General features: G+C 35.9%; 1 protein-coding gene across 9 annotated transcripts in view; it reads right to left on the bottom strand.

Annotated features, from left to right (window-relative positions):
* MTHFD2L (methylenetetrahydrofolate dehydrogenase (NADP+ dependent) 2 like) overlaps positions 1-15,135 on the bottom strand; it is a 188,540-nt gene that overhangs the window by 149,153 nt on the left and 24,252 nt on the right. For 5 of the 9 annotated variants that reach the window (XM_047415712.1, XM_047415715.1, XM_047415716.1 and 2 more), the window contains one exon: positions 10,480-10,554. The exons of the other annotated variants lie outside the window; for them this stretch is intronic. The gene's annotated coding sequence lies outside the window, so the exon portion shown is untranslated. The remainder of the gene's footprint in view (positions 1-10,479; positions 10,555-15,135) is intronic. 9 annotated transcript variants of the gene reach the window in all.

The raw sequence follows: 15,135 nt of genomic DNA, 5'->3' as shown, positions 1-15,135 counted from the left end.
AGAAAAACGAAGAAGATCTAAATAAAGTATAAACTTTTGTTAATAGTAATGTATCAATATAGATTCATTTTATCATATAATGTAAGATGTTAATAATCGGAAAAACTAGATGTGTGACATATGGGAAACTCAGTACTATTTTCTGAATTTTTCCGTAAATTTAAAACTGTTCTATAAAATAAAGTCTATTTTTTAAAATGTCTATCTAGCCAGGGTAGGTATATATTAGAATCAATACCAGAAGAGAATCTTTAAAGGTGGACTTTATCCAAGTTTTATTTATTGCTCTATTTGTAGTTATTAATTTATTTATTAATATTTCCTCCTGAACTGAAAAAGGTAAAGCTGATATATTTTCCCTGTTTTAATCCTCAATGTGCTTCTAATACCTACTCAACAAATATTGAATTCCTTTGAGTTAAATCAGGGATGATTAAAAATTACAGAGAAAGAAAGCTAGTTGCTAATGTGGAATAAAAACTTTCTCCCATGATTATTTTAAGTGTTCCAATGAAAATTTTGGAAGTTGCTTTAAAGAGTACAATACATTTTTATGCCACAGAGATATATGCGTCCATGTAATTATTTGTAGTGTCCATGACATTGCTTGGGGCATCTTATTTAATAGGCTCCATTTATATCGTCAGTTATCTTTTCACTATATAGCATTCATTGTTGTAACAAAATGTTTCAAAATGATTATCAGAATGTGAACAGTTAGCACTGGCATCAAAAGCCACCAAAGTTGGAGTAGGTTGCTGTGAGGCAACCAGAGTTGGTACTGCATAATGACAGACAGATGCATAGCTTACTCCAGAGAATAGCAAAGAAGCCCATTCATAAGATAAGCTTACTAAGAAACTGAGATGTCAAGGGAAAATCACAGCCAAGGAATAAACAAGGATCCAGAAAACCAGGAGTGGAGCCAAAGCAATAAACAACATGGGTAGCTACTGCCTGAGATGAAGCAGAAGCTAATGAGCTGAAGAAGCTTAGCTTGGCAGCATCAGCTAGAAGAGGCAAGTTCCCTAGGATATTTTAAGATCATTATATTTTCTGTCCCAGAGTGTTTTCTTTTTGTTTTTGTTTTAAATTAAACTAAGAGATTGATGTATCCTGCTTGTCACTAGCTGCTCTTAAAGAAGTTTGTACTTCAGGAACAGAAAACCAAACACTGCATGTTCTCATGCATAAGCGCGAGTTGAACGATCAGAACACATGGATACAGGGAGGGGAACATCACACACTGGGGCCTGTCAGGGGGTGGAGACAAGGGAAGGGAGAGCATTAGGATAAATACCTAATGCATGCAGGACTTAAAATCTAGATGATGGGTTGATAGGTGCAGCAAACTACCATGGTGTATGTATACCTATATAACAAACCTGCATGTTCTGCACATGTATCCCAGAACTTAAAGTAAAAAAAAAAGTATTGTGCTTGTCTGTCAAAGAAAATTTTCCATGAGCTCTTCCAAATCATATTTTCTGTAAGGGAATTCTCAATAAAAATATAAACAACTTTACAGCATATGTGTTTTAAAAACCTGATATTTATATAAATTATTAAAATTGATTCATGAAGTAGAAAACCAAAACAGACAGAAATGGAAAAGAAGCTACTAATCAAATACAACTATAAAGCTTCCTAAAGCAGAGTTTTTTTATGCCCTCAAAATATGATAAGTCATACTAAAAATCTTTCCAAATCATAGAGAAGGAATTTCCCAGGTATTTTTATTATATTCAAACCCAATTTAAAAGAATACAAAAAAAGAAAACTATTGAACAATATAACTGATAAATGTAATTATTAGGATATGAAAGAAAACATTGTTGATATAATTTGATGGTATTATAAAAGGAAAAACTTTACCACAACTAAACGATAATACAAAGATGGGTTAATTAGGATAATATTGGAAGTGTGTCAGTTCATATATCACATAAATATGGAAAATAAGAGAAAGAGTATTTGATAAAATTCAATAACCTTTCCTAATAACATTTAATAAACTAGATATAAAAATATTTCAGATCAACAGCTAATAGCATTCCTAACAATGAACCTGTAGGGACATTCCAATAAAAATTTGGAAAACCTATGAAGGAAACATTAAGACTGTGATGAGTAATGTATGCAAAGACTTGAATTAATAGAAAGACCAAGATGCTTAATATTGTAAATATGTCGACTTTCACTAAAATAATCTATTAATCCAATACCCAATAAAATATCTCAGTTTTTTAGTCAAATGGGGGAAGATTTAATATAATAATAACAGCATATGTTTCCCTGAATTTGCTATGTGCCAAGGCTGTGCTGAACACTTTTCAGAAGTTATTCTTTTAACCCTTACCACAATGAAGCTATGAGGAAACAGGTAAAATAGGCTAGATAACTTGCCAAGACCTACAGCTATCAAGTGATGAAAGTGGAGTTCAAGTCTCAGGTAGTGTGAAACCAGTGCCCACACTTCTAACTGCAGTGCTTTTCTAAATCTAAGGTTCTCCTGGAAAAGTTTGCATGCTACATCGCTAAGGTACAGAGAACTCATCCCAATGTCTGCATTTTAGTCATTTATACAATCTTCTGTAACTATAAAATTGATTTTTGATTTGAATCTGTGTAATAAGGAGAAAATAATTTTTAATTTTCCAATGAATGGTGGATTCTATTGAAAAATTGATTACCAAGTTTTATTTCATGATAATTAATGTGACTACCAGTTTCATATTTTAATAACTTATTGATAGTTTATTTGTGGTCTTATAATACCATTAACTGTATAAAAAGTGCACCTGGTTTAGAATATAATGTTAACTATATATACTGTATATATCTATATACATGTCAATATATAACCAATGTTACAATGATTGTCTTTTTTCTAATTCCTCTGTTCAACTTTTTAAAGACTAAGAATGATGTAAAGAACCCAATTTTTCTTTATTTTTTACTACATATTATAGCATTATTTCATCAGTGAATATGGGATAATGATTATTACAGATTCCATATAGTTTATCTATTATCATTATATAATGGCCTTCTTTATTTTGTTAAGCCTTCTTGTTTTCCATGGTAATTGTTAGACATTGCTACTCCTATCCTTGTTTAGTTTTAATATGAAAAGTGTCACATGTATATATTTATATATATATACACACACACACGTATACATATACACATGTATACCTGTATCTTTTTACATTTAAATTTTGTTTCACTTTGTTTTGATGTGTGTCATTTAAAACAACATATGTTAATTTTTTTAAGTTATGGGATAATGTTTGGAGCAGAAAATAATATGCAAATAATATATATGCATTGGCTTTTGATTGCTGCTATAATAAATTATCACAAATTTAGTGGTTTAAATAATACAAACTTGGCCAGGCACGGTGGCTTACGCCTGTAATCCCAGGACTTTGGGAAGCCTAGGCGGGCGGATCACCCGAGGTCGGCAGTTTGAGACCAGCCTGACCAACATAGAGAAACACCGTCTCTACTAAAAAATACAAAATTAGCTGGGCATGGTGGCGCATGCCTGTAATCCCAGCTACTCAGGAGGCTAAGGCAGGAGAATCGCTTGAACCTGGGAAGTGGAAGTTGCAGTGAGCTGAGATCGCACCATTGCACTCCAGCCTGGGCAAAAAGAGCAAAACTCTGTCTCAAAAACAAACAACAACAACAAAAACTTATGGTGTTACATTTCTTTAAGATAGAAGTCTGGTGTGAGTCTCACAGGGCTATAGTCAATTAGGGTTGTATTCCTTCTGGAGGCTCTAAGGAGAATCCATCTCCTTCCTTTTTGCGTGTTCTGTAGACAACCTACCCACTTTCTTTGGCTTGTTGGCACCCTTCCCCCATCTTCAAAGCCAAGAATGTCGAAATCCCTCTCTTACTCTTCTTCCATTATTTCTCTCTCTTTCTCTGTCTCTCTCTTTTACTTACTACAGCCAGGGGAGGGTCTCTATTCTAAAGGCCTCATGATTTGATTGAGCCCACTAGGTTAATTCAAGATAATATCCATATCTCAAAGTTACAAACCATAATCACATCTGTAATAGTACCATTTGCCATGTAAGGTGATATATTCACAAGTTTTGAAACCTAGGATATAAACATTTTTTGGGGGGAGCACTCTTCTACCTACCACAACACATAACACCCTTGCAAATTATGAAGCATAACAACAAGAAGAATATTCCTGAACCTACCACACAACGTGGGAATTAGAACCTTTCTGATATCAATGAATAAATCTAGGTGCTTCTTTCATATCCCAAATTTTTTATCAGAGGTAATCATTGTCTTGAATTTTGTAGTTTAATCGTTTTGATTTAAAAATAATTTAATCACAAATACATCTTTTAACAACATAATGCTCAGTCTTCCTTGGTTTTTGTTTTGTTATTTGAGTTTAACATATGATATTGAGCTGGATGCAGTCTTCAAGCACTTGCTTTTTCCCTTTTACTCCGTGTTTCCAAAACATATTTATTTTGTTGCATGTAGCTATAATTCATTCATTTTTTTCTGCTAAATATTATTAAATAGGGGCATTTAGTTTTTCAGCAGCCTATTAACAGATGTCTGAGTTTGTATTAGGCAGAATCTAGGAGGAAACAGAAAACACTGTAGGTATTTCAAATAAAGGAAATTTAATATAGGGATTTAATTAAGTAGATAATGGAAGAACTTAGAAGCCAAAAAGGATACAAAATAACCCAACAGCAGGAAACCACTGAAACTGCTAAATCTGGAGAGACAACTGGATGGAGCAAGTGGCACTATCAGAATTGAGAAGATAAAACTATCTAATGAGAGCTGGAATCATGGCAAAGTCTTCCTTGCAGGACCTGGAACTATCTAAGCAATGATTGATCAGAGGAAGCTATGTCCACAAGGGAGACAGCAGAAAGATAAGAAGAAAAATACACTGGGTTTCCCCTTCTCTCACACTCCAAAATTTGGCTATTGTTTCCCATTGGTCAAACCTACCTGGAAACCAAAAAGCAAAGGGGCCTAAGAAATATAGCCTTTTGGGATACAGAAAAGACTAAGTAAGGGAAAGGCAATGGGATAAATCTAAATGTAAACAAGCCAGACCCAGTGATTTCTCCGTTTATTTATGATAGTAAAAATAAAAATGTGGCTGTGAGCATTCATGTTTATGACTCTCGATGCACTTATTCAAGAGTTTCTCTGTAAGTAGATTTGTAGGGTCATAAGATACGTGCATATTCAATTTTAAAAGTTAGTAGCACTCTCCTAAAATTCATATGGAATATTAAGGGACTATAATGCTAGCACTTTGGGAGGCTGAGGTGGATGAATCGCTTGAGCCCAAGAATTTCAAACCCTATCTCTACAAAAAATACAAAAATTGGCTGGGTATGGTGGCATGTTCCTGTAGTCTCAGCTACTGGGGAGACTGAGACAGGAGAATCACTTGAACCTGGGAGGTAGAGGTTGCAGTAAGCAGAAACCACGCCACTGCACTCCAGCCTGGGCAACAGAGCAAAACTCTGTCTAAATAGATAGATAGATAAATAAATAAATAAATAAATAAATAAATAAATAAATAAATAAAATGTGTGGGAAAAGGCAATAAAAAAGGGGGGGACCACAAATAGCCAAAACCATCATGAAAAGAACAATGTTGGAGGTCTCACACTTTATGATTTCAAACTTATCAGAAAGCTACCCTATACAAAAGTAGAAGCTGACTTACAGACCAAAGAGCTTAAAAATAAAGCTTTGCATATATGATTAATTGATTTTTGACATGGTGCCAATATCATTCGATGTGGAAAAGGTAGTCTTTTCAATAAATGGTGTTAGGAAAACTGGATATCCATAACCAAAAGAACGAAGTTGGACCCTTATGCCATACCAAAATCAACTTAAAATGGATCAAAGAAATGGATTATAAGAAACTTCTGTGCAGCAGAGGACATAATCAACAGAGTGAAAAAGCAATCAAGAGAACAGGAAAAAATATTTGCAAATTATATATTTGATAAAAGGTTAATATTCAGAATATATTAAAAAGAAAACTCCTATAGCTCAACAAAAACCAAACAACTCAATTAAAATTGGGCAAAGGACTTACATCGACATTTTTCCAAATGGCCAATAAAAAAAAGATGCTCAACATCGCTAATTATTAAGGAAATGCAAATCCAAAGCGCAATGTTATACCACCTCATGTCCGTTAGGATGGCTACTACAAAAACAAACAAACAAACAAACAAAATAACAAGTGTTGGGAGGATGTGGAGAAATTGGAAAGATGAGATTGAGGTAGACAACCAGATTTTTCTCCATCTTGGATTCCCTGGCAGGACACATGTCCCTGACTTAACCTGCAGGAAGCATTATGAATGCCTGAATGGAGAAATATCCCTGAGGACAGCCAAAGACAAAAGGGGAGAAGTAGAAACTCTGCTCTGTAACTCGCCCAAAGGAGATGCCAAATTAGAGTGGCTGTTCAGCACCACCAAGCTGTAGAAGATTCTTCACACACATCCCCTAGACAAGAACCCCTAGCCAGCCTTCCCACACTGCCAGGATATAACCTTCTGGAATCCTTCTATTAGACAGGAGCAGGGCTCTGAGTTTGTTAGAGCCAAGGGGAACCTGGGCTTAAAGAGCCGACCTAGAACCAAAAAGGAGACAATGACTTACTGGTAAAGAACCTCTACCCAGGTGAGCATGGGAGAAAAAAAAGAAAAGAACTTCCAAGCAAATATATCCAACACAAACCCAAAGAAATCAGACAGAGAAGACTGGAATAAATAACTAATCCTTCAATGCAAATACATAGATGTACATCCACAAGAAACAACAGCAAACAGGGAACCGTTTTTAAGGAAACTCAGTATTCTCCAAGATAGCACAGAAAAGCAATTCAGAAATGTATTAAAGAAAATTAACAAAGAGATTGAAATTTAAAAATCCTAAAACTGAGAGATCCACTTGCTGAACTGAAGAATTCATTAGAAGTTCTCAACAGCAGAATAGGTCAAGCAGAAGAAATAATAAATGAGCTCAAAGACAGACTATTGGAAAAAACACAGTCAGAGGAGGAAAAAGAAAATAGAATGAAAAGCAATGAAGATTGCCTATAAGATATAAAAAATTACCTCAAAAGACCGAATCTGGAATTACAGCTGTTCAAGCAAAAGTTGCGCAAGAGAAAGGGGTAGAAAGCTTATCAAAAGAAATAACAGAAACTTTTCAAATATGAGAAAGATTAAATATCCAGATATAGGAATATCAGAGAACACCAAACGAATTTGACCAAAATAAGACTACCCCAAGGTGTATAAAAAGACAAATATGGTATGATTTAATTTTACAAGGTAGTTAAATTCATAAAGAAAGTAGAATGGTGGCTCCCAGGTTCTTGGGAAGAGGGGCATGGGGATTTATTGTTAATGTGTATATAGTGTTTCAGTTTTGCAAGATGAAAAGAGTTCTGGAGATTGATTACAAATTAATTTGAATGTGCATAACAGTATTAAACTAAATTCTTAAAAGGGATATGATGGTGAATTTTATTTTATGTACAACTTATCACAATTTAAAAAATTTAAAAATTAGTAATAATTTTTTAATAACTTAGGAGTCATAGACCACCCTGAACACACCAGATCTTGTCTGATAATATCTTAGAAATGTTTACTCCTAGTGGCAAGAAATAAATTATTGAGTCACATCTTTAGCAATATTTTGATTTGTCAATCTTTTTAAATTTTAGCCAATTTAATGAAGAACAAATAGTATTTGCAGAAATCGTAATTTAAATTTTCCTGACTACTAATGTGTGAAGCATCTTTCTCTCTGTTTATTAACCATTTTAGTTTTTTGTTCTATGAAATATGTGTCTTTTTCAATGGGTTTGTGTATTAGTACATTCTCCCACTCTTATAAAGCGATACCTGAGACTGGGTAATTTATGAAGAAAAGAGGTTTACTTGGCTCAAGGTTCTGCAGGCTGTATAGGGAGCATAGCAGCTTCGACTTCTCGGGAGGCCTCAGAGAGCATTTACTTATGGTGGAAGGCAAAGCAGGAGGAGAAGCAGGACCAAGAGAGCAGGGGAAAAGGTGCTGCAAACTTTCAAACAACCAGATCTTGTGAGAACTCACTATACTGTACTAAGTGGGGGATGGTGCTAATCCATTCATGAGAACTCTGCCCCCATGATCCAGTTACCTCCCACCAGGCCTGATCTTCAACATTGGGAGTAACAATTTGACATGAGATTTGGGTGGGGACAGAAACCCAAACCATATCAGTTTGTAACTTTGTTATTGCTATAGGAATTATTTATGTCCAAATGTCAATATATTGTTAGGTGCATGTGTAACAAGTATTTTTTTCTTAGTTTATTTTTATTTACCTTTCAGGTCTCTAATAAATAGAGTTTCCTAATTGGAAAGTGTAGCCATCCCTTGGTATTCTGGGAGACTGGCTCCAGGACATCACCTCCCTGCCTCCCCGACAGATACCAAATCTCAAGGATACTAAAGTCTTTTTATATAAAATGGTGAAGTATTTGCATAGAACTTATGCACATCCTCCTGTATATTTTAAATCATCTCTAGATTACTTATAATATCAATACAATGTATATGCTATGTAAATAGTTGTACAGTATTTTTTATTTGTATTATTTTGATTGCCTTTTTAAAATATTTTCAACCCCTAGTTGGTTGAATTCGAGGATGCAAACCTGCAAATACAGAATGATTTGGGTTTTTTTTTTTTCAAATATGGAATGTTGACTGTAGTCTAGTTTATCAGTCTTTTATGGTTGGAACCTACTGCAATGTTGAAGCAATCTTTCTCTATTTCAAGATTATATCGATATATTCTTATTAATTTAGTCTAGAGCTTTTAAAGTTTTGACTTTCTTATTTAAATCTCTAATTAATGATTCCAATGCACAGTGTGAGGTGAGGATCAGATATCTTTGCTGTTAGCTATGGATAATCAAAATTATACCACTTACAGCACTTACTATTAATTCATTCATTTCTTCTTATCTACAATTCTACTTCTTTCTTATAGGAAGTCTCTATATAGGTATTGATCTGCTACTGTGCTTGCAGATTCACATGACAGAAATAAAGATTAATGAACTTGTAGACATAGAAATTATAAAAAATGAAATGTACAGAGAAAAAACAAAGCCAACAGTGAGCCATGGGACATCTCCAAGACACCAAATATCATGTAACTAAAGTTATTAAAAGTGGGGAGGTGGAAACCAAAAAATTTTTGGAAGAAAAAATAGTAAAGTATTTTCCAGATTTGATGAAAAGTACAAACCTACAGATCTAAGAATCTCAATGAATGCCAAGCACAAGAAACATAAAGAGAACTATACCAAAGCATATCATAATCAAATTACCCAGCACCACTAATAGAGTGAACAATTATTTTTGTTTGTTAGCTTGTTTTTTTGTTTTTTTGTTTTTTGAGACAGTCTCACCTTGTCATTCAGGCTGGAGCGCAGTGGCACAATCTCAGCTCATTGCAACCTCTGCCTCCTGGGTTCAAGCAATTCTCCTGTCTCAGCCTCCCGAGCAGCTGGGACTACAGGCGCCTGCCACCATGCCCAGCTAATTTTTGCATTTTTAGTAGAGACAGGGTTTCACCATATTGGTCAGGCTGGTCTCGAACTCCTGACCTCAGGTTATCCACCTGCCTCAGCCTCCCAAAATGCTGGGATTACAGGTGTGAGCCACTGCACCCAGCCATCTAACAATTCTTAAAAGCAACCAGAGAGAATAAAAAATCTTATGTACTGAGGAATACAGATAAGGACAGCAGATTTATTGATAGTTTAGCATAATGGCAGGATACAGAGCAGTATACACAAATCCATGTACTCATGGCATATGGCCAGCTTATTCTGCCATACCTCTCCAGGAATGATTCTTAGATTTAGTCTTTTCCAATTGCTACCTTCTCATTTCATTTCATACTCAAAAACAAAATTCTAGGCACAGCTTCTAACTTGGTGCTGAAATTACATACTAGAAGTTTAAAAATATATTCATATAAATGTTTCTCCTTATCCTATCTGAACATAATGCTTTTCTCTTTCTTCTCATAAGTTATATATTATTGAGCACAAAACAATATTAAGATATTCTTCTAGGGCTCAAAATTTTTGACTCTCCTCTTGCTTATCTTATTTTCCACAACCCAAAAAATTTCTTCTCTATCCATTTTCTTACCAATGTTCTAGTATGATAACTTTTAAATGATTTTCTTTTCTAAGCAGCAAAATTCATTTTTCAAACCAAATTTGACATGAAAAATCTTACTTCAAATGTATAAAAGGAAAGTAGGAAAATAGAAAATGGAGCTGCTTTGGCTGACATGGGTTCCAGGGAACCGTGCTTGTTTAGTCTTCTGCCCCTTCCATCCATGGCCCCTGAGACAGTTCCACATACCCTCTAGGACCCTTCCAAACTCAGCGTGAAAATTGGAGTAATGAGCTCAAATCCGTGTTTCCATGCTGCACCAGCCTAGACAAAAAGAATAAGGTCACAAATATTTTTCTCAAAGAGTATATTTCTTTGCCTTCACTGTCACCAGCCATATGAAAACTCCATTCTACACTCAAATTCTAGCCAGATCGTTCTGAAGGCTGTGAGGAATCAGTGCACGTATGCTTTCCAGCTCCTCTTGGTCACCATTAAGCTCCTATAATTTTTCCTACATTCTTTCCCAACTTACTGTGATACCCCCTGTTGATGCTTGTTTTTTTTGTTTGTTTGTTTTTGTTTTGTATTTGAAGAGGTCCTTAATGCTGGTAATATATAGACAGTGTGGACATCTACACCAAAGACATCATCTCCTATCACCACCTTAACCCCTGAAACCATACAAAAGCTGTTAGAATCAGTAACACATGCATCCATCCTCCATGATCATTGGTGATTTCAGACAACACCTTTTTCAGGTATTGATACTTTTTAAATTTTCAAGACCTATGTCATTGGTTGGAACAGAAAGATTACTCGAGTGGCAGAGTGTACCAAGAATCTACTAAGAATCTTTACTAAGATTCAGGGGATTTTTTTGTCCAAGACTGACCCATTATCCTTGAATAATACCTTGAAGAAGCCTCTTGGCTCTCCCATTCTGCAGGACCATGTCATTGCTTCTAAAACTGGAGTGCACGTAGGGGTTGCAGAAATGTGAAAGGAGGTACTTGGAGCCATGGAATAAGTATGTTGTTATCTTGATACATCAGTTTCCCATAATACATGTCAATTATTTCATAGTAAATATTTTAACATATTAAATGTCTTAGTTTGTGCTGCTAAAACAAATTATGACAGACTGGGTGGCTTAAATAACAAGCATTTATTTCTCACAGTTATAAAGGCTGAAAATCTGAAGTCAGGTTGCCAGCGTAGTTAGGCTTTGGTGAGAGTCCTCTTCTAGGTTACAGACTTCTGACTTCTTGTTGTATTCTCACATAGTGGAAAGAGGGCAAGCTAGCCCACTGGTCTGTTCTTAGAGGAAAACTAATCGCATTTATGAGAGCTCCACTCTCATAGCCTAATTACCTCCCAAAGGCCCCACTTCAAAATACTGTTACAATAAGGATTAGATTTCAATGTATGAATTTTGGGGGAACACAAATATTCAGCTCATAACATTAACTAGCATTTTTTAAAATGTGTAAAATTTGGGATATTTTAAAAGGTAAAACATAAGACTTCAAGGAAATTTTGTAGTGCAGCTATGCTCTCCAATCAAACATTCTTAGCCAATGACCTCACTTCCTCACCCAGTTCAGCCTTTTGGGATATTACGGTGAGTTTTTCATAGGAGAATCGTTGGTTCTTTATGCAGAGACTCCATGAATTTTAGACATACCTGAATTCTAATGTGAGCCCAGCTTAGGCTCAAGCTGAGACTCTCCCATTTACATATTTCATTTCACATCTAAGTTGATTTTTTTTCATAATGAAAGCCAACACACATCATTTCATTACATATTTATTTAACTGTGTAACTGCTTTCCTAATTAAGCTATAATGGATGGGATAATCCCATAAAACAACTTTGTTCTTTTTTTCCACTGTCCTCCAAGTTCTTTTTAGGGGCAGCCTTATTTCCTTCTGCTCCATGAAATCTTGAACTTGTCCTAAAACTTCTTGGTCCCCTTTAGTTACAAGAATAATATTATTTCAAAAATTATCCTATTTTATGGATGAGGAAACTAAAACACTAAAAGGTTAGGTAATTTACTTGAGATCAAGTGAGTGACAAGAGAGTAGAGCCAGAAATTTTGTGTCAAGTCAGTGTTTCTCAATGAATGAATGAGTAAATGGACTAAAGGAAGGAAGACCTTGGAGGGTTAGAAGACTGTTTTAGTAATCAAAGCGAGAAACAAGAAGCATCAGAACTAAGGCTATGTCACTGTGAATGGCAAGGAGGAGACAGATTAAACTCATTAAGGAGGTAAGAGCAATAGAATCTAGTGACACACTGAATGTGAGAACTCACATTTGGCAGCAGGCCTGACTTTCTCTAGCATTCGTACCTCAGCCTTTGAAAGTGAATTTTGCTTGGACTACTACTTCATCTGTTATCTCATGTTATCCTATGGATAATTATTTAGCTCTAATCCTTTCTACAGTAGTAATCAACCCTGCTTAAGCCAATTATCTCGATTCTTGCTGAGCAACTTTGGCCTTCTTGAAAATGCCATATTTCAGTTATTACTTAGAGCACCAGTAAACTACCCTAATAAGATGAGAAAATTTGTCACATAATGAAGTTTGGTTTTCATCTTTGAAGTTAGGGCAAAAACAAGCTACACTAAGTACATTCATAAAATATTATAAAAACTAGCATAAAAATTTGAGAATATGAGTACTGTCATATTTGGTAAGGTAATCTAACAATATAAATTTAAAAACCCACAAATATCTTCATGCCTGATGTGGTTTGGCTGCGTTCCCACTCAAATCTCATTTTGTAATTCCCATAATCCCCATGTTTTGTGGGAGGAACCAGGAAAAGAAAATTGAATCGTGGGGGCAGTTTACCCCATCCTGTTCTCATGATAGTGAGTTAGCTTCATGAGAGCTAATGGTTTTATAAGGGGCTTCCCCCTTCACTGGGCACTCATTCTTCTTCCTGCTGCCATGTGAAGAAGGACACTTTTGCTTCCCCTTCTGCCATGATTGTAAGTTTCCTGAGGCCTCCCGGCCCTGTGGAACTGTGGGTCAATTAAACCTCTTTCCTTTATAAATTACCCAGTCTCTGGTATGTCCTTATAGCAGTGTGAGAATGGACTAATAAAATGTCCTTGAATTATATTGCCTTTTTTGTAGTATAGCCTAAATGAATAATGCACAACATGAAAAAGGTGTGCACAAAGTGAAAAATATATAATTGAGAAAATTAAAATAATTTAAATACTAAAAAAACAGGAGTATTTGTGTGGATTAAGTTAATTAATTACATAAAATTAAAACTAATAAAATTACCAATAATAATAGCAGTTTCTGTAGGTTTGCTTTATGCCAGACACTCTTCTATGTGCTTTACATAGATTACTTCATTTTTTTATCTTTTATATTTTTCTCTTTTGAGACAGGATCTCACTCTGTTGCCCAGGCTGGAGTGTAGTGGCGTAATCATGACTCACTACAGTCTTGACTTGCCTGAGCTCAGGTGACTTTCCCACCTCTGCCTCCTGAGTAGCTAGGACTACAGGCATGTGCCACCATGTCAGCTATTTTTTTTTTTAATTTTTTGTAGATGTTGCCCAGGCTGGTCTCAAACTCCTGAGCTCAATCCATCCACCCACCTGGGCCTCCTAAAGTGTTAGAATTATGGGCATGAGCCACCACATCTGGCTGATTACTTCATTTAATCTCCTTAATTGCCCTGGAAGATAGAGTCCCTTATTACTATTTTACCTGTGATAAAACTGAACTTCAAAGACATTAAGGAGCTTGACCCAAGTTACAAATCTAGTAAGTGGTATAGCCAAAATTCTGAGAAAGGCAGTTTAATTTTGTACCTAAAAATGACAACAAACATTTACTAATCTAGGAAATGAAAAAGACATGAAAAGAGAAATTAGAAACTATTTTTGACCCAAAGGAAAATTAAAAGAGAACATGTCAAAATTGGGGGAGTGCAGCAGAAGCAGTGCTTTATCACCAACAATATCCCAGAATTCAAATATGAGAATGAGTTAGTTCCCAGGTCCACAAAGAAGTGAAAAAAACTTTGAGCAGACAGTAAGAGACTCAAGTTTCCATTTCCAAGACTGCTTTCCTCCCAGTCTGCCTGGAACCAAGTTTGTGGAACATTTCCCCCAACTCATGGGAAGAGTGAGATGGAGGTGGACTACCAGCTTTTCCACCATCTTGGGCTCTCTGGCAGGAGATCAGTTACTGCTTCAACCTACAGGAAGCATCACAAGTGTCTGAAGGGAGAAATACCCCTGAGGACAGCCAGACACAAACGGAGAAGGCAGCACTACCATCCCTAGCCCTGGATACTCTGCTGTGCAACTTGGCCAAAGGAGATGCCAAATCAGAGTAGCTATTCATCAGCACCATGCTGTAAGAAGTACCATCCATAGGTTCCCTCCTTATGAATCCCCACTAGCCATCCCCTAGGGTATCACCTTTGGGACCTTCCCAGGTCCTCCTAATCTTTTTCTAGAGCTAGGGCAAACCTGGGCTTCAGACACATTCTACTGCCAAATAAGAGACAGTGACCTAGTGGAAAAACAAATAAGAAATTCTACAGGTAAATTACAAAGACTGTCTATGCAAACATACCCAATAAACACCAAAACAAGCTGAGAGACAGGACTAGCTGGATTTCCTAGGCCAACTAAGAATTCCTAATCCTGGCTGGGGAAGGTGACTGCACCTACCTTTAAACACTGGGCTTATAACTCAGCTCACACTCAACCAATCAGGTAGTAAAGACGGCTCACTAAAATACAAATTAGGCTAAAGTAGGAGGTAAAGAAATAGTCAAATCTATATCGCCTGAGAGCACAGAGGGAGGGACAATGATTGGGATATAAACCCAGGCATTTGAGCAGGGAGCGGCAACCC

The sequence above is a fragment of the Homo sapiens genome, chromosome 4 (assembly GCF_000001405.40).
Source record: "Homo sapiens chromosome 4, GRCh38.p14 Primary Assembly".
NCBI classification, from domain to species: Eukaryota; Metazoa; Chordata; class Mammalia; order Primates; family Hominidae; genus Homo; species Homo sapiens.
Note: the sequence above shows the minus strand (reverse complement) of the source record. Positions and strands in the feature narration are given on the sequence as shown.